The sequence below is a fragment of the Homo sapiens genome, chromosome 2 (assembly GCF_000001405.40).
Source record: "Homo sapiens chromosome 2, GRCh38.p14 Primary Assembly".
NCBI classification, from domain to species: domain Eukaryota; kingdom Metazoa; phylum Chordata; class Mammalia; order Primates; family Hominidae; genus Homo; species Homo sapiens.
This window is the reverse complement of record NC_000002.12, coordinates 62,571,117-62,579,298: the sequence shown is the minus strand read 5'-3', so window position 1 is coordinate 62,579,298 and position 8,182 is coordinate 62,571,117. Positions and strand designations below refer to the sequence as shown.

At 41.6% G+C, this 8,182-nt stretch overlaps 1 annotated feature.

Moving 5' to 3' along the window:
• Positions 322-1,521: an enhancer, noted in NCBI's record as "P300/CBP strongly-dependent group 1 enhancer chr2:62804913-62806112 (GRCh37/hg19 assembly coordinates)". NCBI's record gives its function as "activates an origin of replication core promoter dependent on BRD2, BRD4, P300/CBP, MED14 and CDK7 cofactors, with strong dependence on P300/CBP, by STARR-seq in HCT116 cells {active_cell/tissue: HCT116}" and the evidence as "EXISTENCE:reporter gene assay evidence [ECO:0000049][PMID:35650434]".

Genomic DNA, 8,182 nt, shown 5'->3' with positions numbered 1-8,182 from the left:
GCTAGCTGCAACCTCTTCTTCCTGGGTTCATGCAATTCTCATGACTCAGCCTCCCAAGTAGCTGAAATTACAGGTATGCTCCACCATGCCTGGCTAATTTTTAGATGGGGTGTCACCATGTTGGCCAGGCTGGTCTCAAACTCTTGATCTCAATTGATCCGCCAGCTTCGGCCTCCCAAAGCGCTGGGATTACAGGTGTGAGCCATCACACCCAGCCAGGATTTATTTCTTATTTCAACATAACCTAGACTATCATGACTAACAAAACAAACACAGGAGTGGCTGTGTTGCACTGAGAAGCAAAGAAAAGTTGATTTACAAAGAGGAATAAAGATGATGTACATGCACAAAGGGGAGCAGAGTTAAGAAAGAGTCCCTGGGTCCTTCTCATTCCTGGTTCCAACCTCATCTTGAGGGCAAACCACATTTCTCTCCTTGGCTTCTATGACTCTCTTGCATCCCTATAAGTCCCTTTCCTATTAAGCCTGTACACAGAGTTTCTGTCCTTTGCAGCCAAAAGAAGTTACAACTAATATTCCTCTTACCTCAGTGCTTCAGTTTATGTTTTACTCATTTTAACACGAAGACAACTACATTAATAGGCATGGGTTCTGGCTTAGATTTCTAATTCCTTCATGCTTTTATTCTGTTCAGGAATGCCAAGAACTACAGCAAAATCTTGTCCAGATGTGATTCCACAGTACAGTCAGCCCTGAAGACACAATTCCAGAATTACAAATTTTGTCTATTTACCCAAAATGTAAGGTGGATAATCTTTTCAGTTTATTGGTTACAAATGACCAGCTGACAAGTTACTCAGCTTCTGCAATTGTGGTGAAATTCTAGAGCTACCAAGAAAGGGTCACTTGTTCAAGAAGAACAAGCTAAGGAATTGATTGGCTCTTCAGAACTTGTGCCAACTTCCTTTCTGCAGGCGGGCTAAATATTGGATACCTTTGAGAGAAGGGAAGCCATCATCTTAGGAAAAAAACCTCTCTCTGCTGTGAACAAGCTGAATGCAATCACAGAAACTGCAGACAAAAGAGCTTTTGATGACAGATATTGCTGATGCCTGGTGCCTTCAAAGGCATTCCAGGAAAGGTGAAGGAATAATTATGATTAACAATAACTCATGTTTCTTCCAGGATGTTACTCATTGAACCAATGGGTCACTTGAGAAATATGTCAGTGAGTCAGCTCACATCCAATTTGGCAAAAAGATCCTGGGCTCCCAAACTCTTTGCATTGAACTGAGTAAACCCAAATGAATACATTCTGGGGGAGAAGTAAAGGAAGGAGAACTGTGGTGGTAAAAGACAGAGTTGGCTCCTTCAGTCTCCACCTCCACAGTCCCACCCCCATATTTAAGTGGAATGAAATTATCAAGGCCAATGAAGAAAGTCTTGAGCATACCTTTAGAAAAGTTAAAGGACTCAGATGAAGGAAAAATACAGAAACACCACCAGGAAACAAGGAGAGTCTAATAACTCACCACACATCTAAAACAACATGAACTTATAAATTTATATTGCAACTTATACAGTAAGAGCATATACCAAAAGCCAGTTAAAATAATAATGGTTACAAATAAAAAGGAGTTTGGACTGGCTGGTCTAAGGTCTTTTATTCAAAATTCCATGATAAAAGGACTATATAGACTGATGTGGCTCAAGGGCCAAATTGGCTGTTGATGAAATTTTTCCTATGATAATGGCATTGAAATTCATTATTTTACTTTTCACTGCCCTTAGAAGAGTTTATTAAAATATAGGTACAATTTAAAGAAGAATTAAAAGCCCAAAACTGGCCAGGCATGGTGGCTCACGGCTGCAATCCCAGCACTTTGGGAGGCCGAGGCGGGTGGACTGCTTGAGCTCAGGAGTTTGAGATCAGCCTGGACAACATGGCAAAACCCTGTCTCTACCAAAAACACACACAAAAAGTTAGCCAAGCATGGTGGTGCATGCCTGTGATCCCAGCTACTTGGAAGGCTGAGGAGGGAGGATCACTTAAGCCCAGAAGGTGGAGGCTGAAGTGAGCTGAGATCACACCACTGCACTCCAAGCTGGGTGACAGAGTGAGACCTCATCAAAAAAACAACAACAAAAAAAAAACAAAAACAAACAAACAAAGAACCCAAAAAACAAAAAACTGTAAAACCCCATACCCACGTACTCACTACCTAACCTAGTTTAAGAATAAAACATTAACGAGTCCCATGCACCTGCCCCCAAAACCTCTCCTCTGTTCACTTCCCACCCATGGTTATCCAGAGGCTAATATTAATTGGCACTTTTTAAAAATTGGCACTTTCACGTTAATCATTCCCTGCTTTATGGTTTCACCACCTATGTTTACATACCTAAACAATATATTCTTTAGTTTTGAAAATTTAGTAGCTGTGTAAAAAAATATCAAAGTTCTATTAGTTGAAACCTCAGGCATGAATGCAACAGAATTTCTCGGCATCAGCTTCTTTAAGCATTTACAGGAGCCCTTTCTGGGGAAGTTAGTGGCCAAGGTCATACACCAGTCCTAGGAAACACAGGGCTCCATGCAGTCTGAGCACCTGGCAATGTTCTCAGGTGAGCCTGGTATTGAAGTCAGGCAGAAATAAAGTCAGAGGGTAGGGGATGCTATTTTCTAACTCACCTCCAGCTCTCAGATGTAGGTTTAAGCACAATCTTTGGTGAGATGCAATGAATGTCCTCAACTGATGCAAGCAGCAGGGTATGGAATAGAGAGCTGGAGCTTTTTCAGCAAAAGGTCATGACACAGTAAGAATCTGGACAAGCTCACTCAAGCATTCTATCCTGGGGTTGAAAAAGAGAGTAAAATAGCAGTGAAAACTTGGCTATGAAGGTCACCAACGTGTCTGTCTCTTGAGTCTCATGCTCCTCTCTGAAACAGTTGCCCTCTGTCTGTTGATAGCTGTCCTGGAATCTCTCTTCACTGTCCTTATGAGGATTCCTTTTGCCTTTCACCTGGGATGGATCATGTACTTATTGTATCCAAGATCAGACCACACAATTTGTGGGGCCCAGTGCAAAATGAAAACCTGGGGTCCCTTGTTAAAAAATTATAAGAATTTCAAGATGACAACAGCAGAGCATTAAACCAAGTATGGGGTCCTTCTATGTGCAGTATCCTGTGTGAGTATATGGGGTGATATCCACAAAGACAGCCCTGTCTATATCTCATGTCTCCCTCTTTCCTAGTTTACTTTTTTTGGTGGAACACATTCCCCAGTAGTTTGAGAAAGGGTGCATGTGAAATAAGTTTTTGAGGCTTAAATGTCTGAAAATGTCATTGTTCTGTCCTCATTCTTGAATGTGAGCCACTTTATTGTTTAACACTGCATTCTGAATATTGCTCCCTGGAATTGTACAATTCGGTAGCCCTGTTTGATTGATGGTTTGGCTGGGTATAAAGTTCTAGCTTTGAAATAATTTTCCTTCAGTATTTTAAAGGTATTGCTCCCTTGTCTTGTTTATAGTACATTGCTGAGAGTCTGAAATTATTTGGATTCTTAACTTTGTGTGACTTGTTTATGCCTTTCTAGAAGCTTACGTAATTTTCTTTTTTCCCCAGAGTTCTAAAAATTTACAACATGCCTTTGTGAGGGTCTGTTTTCATCCATACAGGCCCTTTTGTTCTAGCAATTCATGTTCATCAGTTCTGAGAAATTTTATTGAATTATTTCATTGATAATTTTCTCTGCTCCATTTATGTTTTCTGGAGCTCTTATAATTTGGATAATAAACCTTCTAGAACAGACCTCTCATTTCCTTACCCTTTCTCTCCTCTGTCTACTCTTCGTTCTACTTTTTGAGAAAAATCCTTAACCTTCTACTTTGAGAAAATTTTTAATCTTACATCCTAGTCTTTTAATTTTTTTTAATTTCTAAGAGCTCATTTTGTTCTCTAAATGACCTTTTATATACTATTCTATTCCTATTCTTCTTTCATGTATGCAGCATTTGTCTATTATCTGAGGATATGAGAAATCTTGTTTGTTTTCTTCTCCCTGCGTAGTCTCCATTGCTTCATGTTGCTTTTTTTTTTTTTTGTACTTATTTAGGTCTCTATCTTTTTCACTGGGGACTGTCCTCAGATATCTGGTGTATTAGTCCATTCTTCTGCTGCTATAGGATATAGCCGAGACCGGGTAATTTATAAAGGAAAGAGGATTAATTGACTCACTGTTCCGCAGGGCTGGAAAGGCCTCAGGAAACTTACAATCATGGCGGAAGGAGAAACAAACACAGAGACAGAAAGGAGAAGAATAAATGCCCAGTGAAGTGGGGGAAGCCCCTTATAAAACCATCAGATCTCGTGAGAACTAACACATTATCATGAGAACAGAATGGGAGAAACTGCTCCTGTGATTCAATTATCTCCACCTGGTCCCTTCCACCACACGTGGGGATTATGGGAATTACAATTCAACATAAGATTTGGGTGGGGACACAGCCAAACCATATCATCTAGTAATCCTTGGTTTTCTGCACTAAAAAAGCTGATTAAAAGCACTAGACAAGTGGGCAGGGCTTGTTGACTTTGAACTTAAAGATAATCCAGATGTACAGTTTCTTGGCAGACCCCTGAAGTGAGTGTCTTTGCTTTTTTTTCCCCGCCTTGTTCTGGTCAGATTCCCCAGAGAATTTTCTGATCTCCTGCCTGGTAGATGAGGGCTTGACTGAGAAACAGGTGAAAGAAAAGGGGTGGGGAGTCAGAATATATGAACTCGTTTTTCCCCTCAGTAGGAAGTCCTGCTGTCAGCCATACCTATAAACACAAAAACTCCAGACTTCTGCTGGGACAGGGGAGGAAGTCACCTGGCACCATAAAGAGTAAATAGGCAGCTAGGAATCCAATTGCTTCTCAAGTTGTTTTTTCTTCCTTATTTAAGTCACAGGTATACCTGATGCTGCCAATTACTGAGCTTTTTGAAGATTCTGTGGTTTGAAGCCAGCTTAGGACTCAGCTTTTTTGGCTTGTCCATCTGCTTTCCAGCTTCCAAAATTTTGTTGCTCCTTATCATCTTTCCTATACTGGTATGTTTGTCTTTTGTAAAAATTTATTTAATGTGGTTTTAGTTATGTCAGAAGAAAGTGAAATTAGATACAGTAGTCCTCCCTTATCTGTAGGACATATGTTCCAAGAGCCATGGTGGATGCCTGAAACCAGCAGATAGTATTAAACCCTATATGAACTATATTTTTTCCTATACATACATACCTATGATAAAGTTTAATTTATGTTAGGTAGGAGATTAATAGAAATATCTAAGAATAATTGCAATAATATACTATTATAAAAGTTATGTGAATGTCTCTCTCAAAACATCTTATTGTACTGTAGTCACCCTTCTTTTGATGCTAGATGAAAAAAAGCCTACATGATGAGATGAAGTGAGGTGAGTGATGTAGGCATTGTGATGTAGCATTAGGCTGCTATTGACCTTCTGACAGTAGGAAGGAGAATCATCTGCTTTCAGGTGATTCTAGATCATTAAGTCATGAAGATGTTGATGGTTGGATGTCAGGAGCAGAGGGTGTTGAGGACTAACAGGCAGGTAGCATATATGGCATGGATATGCTGGGCAAACAGATAATTCACATTCCATGCTGGACAGAATGAAATGGCACAAGATTTCATTATGCTGCTCAGAAAGGCATGCAATTTAAAACTTATGATTGTTTATTTCTGGAATGTTCCATTTAATATTTTCAAATTGCGGTTAACTGGGGTAACAAAAACCACAAAAAGCAAAACTGCAGATAAGAGGGGACTACTGTACATACCTTCAATTCACTATCTTAACTGAGAACGCTGTTAACTTTTTTAGACAGCCTTTTTAGAATCAACTGTACCTCTTTTATACTTATTCAAATGTGCTGATGATGAAGTCAGTGCATTGGCATGGCAATGACAGCTAACCTTCAGATCCAGGCATGACTTCTGCTAGGGGCTTAATGTGGGAAACATCTATGAGATTGCCTGCTCAGCACTTCCTCCTCTTCTCCAGAAGCCCCTCAGCATGGCCCACCTCACGGCTGACACGTTCTTACATGATCCTATATTTTGGTCAGAGTTGATTGGTGTAGGACAGCTATTACCCAAGGTGGACATGACTCTCTTCTCTGAGATTCTTGGATATTAACCAAACTGACCATCAGGGGAGTCCCTCCTGGTGGCAAATGCTAAGATGTGCATTCTCCTCCCTTCCTGCCACTCAAATTTTGTTACTGGATCAAGTTTGCCTGCATCACTCTTTATTCAAGATATGTTATCTCTTAAAGGCTTCCTCAGGACCCCCTTTTCCCACATGAGGATAGATACCCAACGTAACCAGTTCATCACATAAATCTAAATTCCAGCTTCTGAGTTTGGATTAAAGTTAGGACATCCTCTCCCACTATATCCATTTTCTCATATCCATACACTCCTTCAAAAAATACTTGACAAAAACAAATTTTGTTTTACCACTATCCCCTTCCAGAGACTTGGCATATGTCAAGGCTAAAGTGACAGAAGGGGACCTTTAATAATGCTACTTAAGCATACATGCAAGGGGATACACTAGACGAGGTTAATCTGGTACTGTGAGATGTCAAACTGCTTTGCTTTCCACCACTGCAGCCTGCAGCGGTAGAAAACCCTTCAAGTCTCATATCTTTGGCATGGAACAGGCTCCACTGAAGAGGGGCATCTCCAGAAGAGGCAAGACCAGAGACCAGAGGGTTTAAGTGGAAGTACCGAGATCCCATCTCCTATATACTGATGAATTATGAGACAGTACATACCCTTTTTAAAGGGGAGGGGCTTAAAAATGTTTTAGTATTAAAATGTGAATTTTACAAGTAATTAAAATTTTCCCCTCAGGGAACTCTTGGCAGAATAAAAAAGGTATTGACTTTGGCTCCAAAGGGTTTTGAGGTCCAGATTCAAATACTGTGACTTGGGGCAGGTTATTTGATCTCTTTTGCCTCCATTTCTTCATATGTGAAATAGGGATTGAAGATACAGAGATGAAAAACGATACTGTACAATGTGCCTGGCATGTGGTTGAACCCTATAAATATACATTCTTCCCCATTTTCCTAATCTGCTAGTGAAAGCAATAAGATAATAGAGTTTGTTCTGTACAGCAAATACGTATTCCCAGGAATGTTAAAGCAGGACACATCAGCAAAGGCAAAGATGACCTATTACAGGCCTCGGGGATCTTTGAGAAGGGTACTCCTTACAGATTTATATTTGAAAAGGGAAAAGTAGCTGAGAACCCCCATATTTGTCAGGCATGGTGGAAAGAGGTTGTTTTGTTTTGTTTTGAGACGGAGTCTCGCCATGTAGCCTGGGCTGGAGTGCAGTGGCCTGATCTCGGCTCACTGCAACCTCTGCCTCCTGGGTTCAAGCGATTCTCCTGCCTCAGCCTCCTGAGTAGTTGGGATTACAGGCGCCCACCATCATGCCCAGCTAATTTTTTGTATTTTTAGTAGAGACGGGGTTTCACCATATTGGCCAGGCTGGTCTCCAACTACTGACCTCAGGTGATCTGCCCGCCTTAGCCTCCCAAAGTGCTAGGATTACAAGCATGACCCACCACACCCCACCAGAAAGAGGTTTAAATGAACTTTTTTTTTTGGTGGGGGGATGGGCATGTTTATTTTAACTATCAAGTCCCTGATCTCAATGCATTTGAAATAGAACTCACACATAATATTCATATTAATTTATTAACATTTTTGAGTCACTGGTCCTTTTGACACTCGCCCCAGAAAAATGCGTGTGTGTATATGTACTTACACAACCACACTTTACAAAAAGTACTTTGATTTCGCCGCATCTCCCCTTCCTTCGCACCCCCACACCACCTGCCGCCAAGTAAAGAGACTGGCTAGAGCCGCTGGGCTCCGCGAAGGCTAAATTCTGGAGATGGAGTTGGAGGTGGGGATGGGGTGCAGGTGTCAGGGCAGCGCGCTCTCCCCGACCCGCTTCTGCTGTTCCGATGGCTGAGAGCGAGGGACACGGGTGAGTCACGCGGCAGAAACTCACGGCAAGCGCACTCGGGGACAACCTGACACGGCACGGGCGGCGTCTCCGGGAGCGCAGTGGCTCCCACCTCCCGCGTCCTAGAGATGGGGAGGCGAGGAGAGAGGGAGCAGGCTGAGCCGAA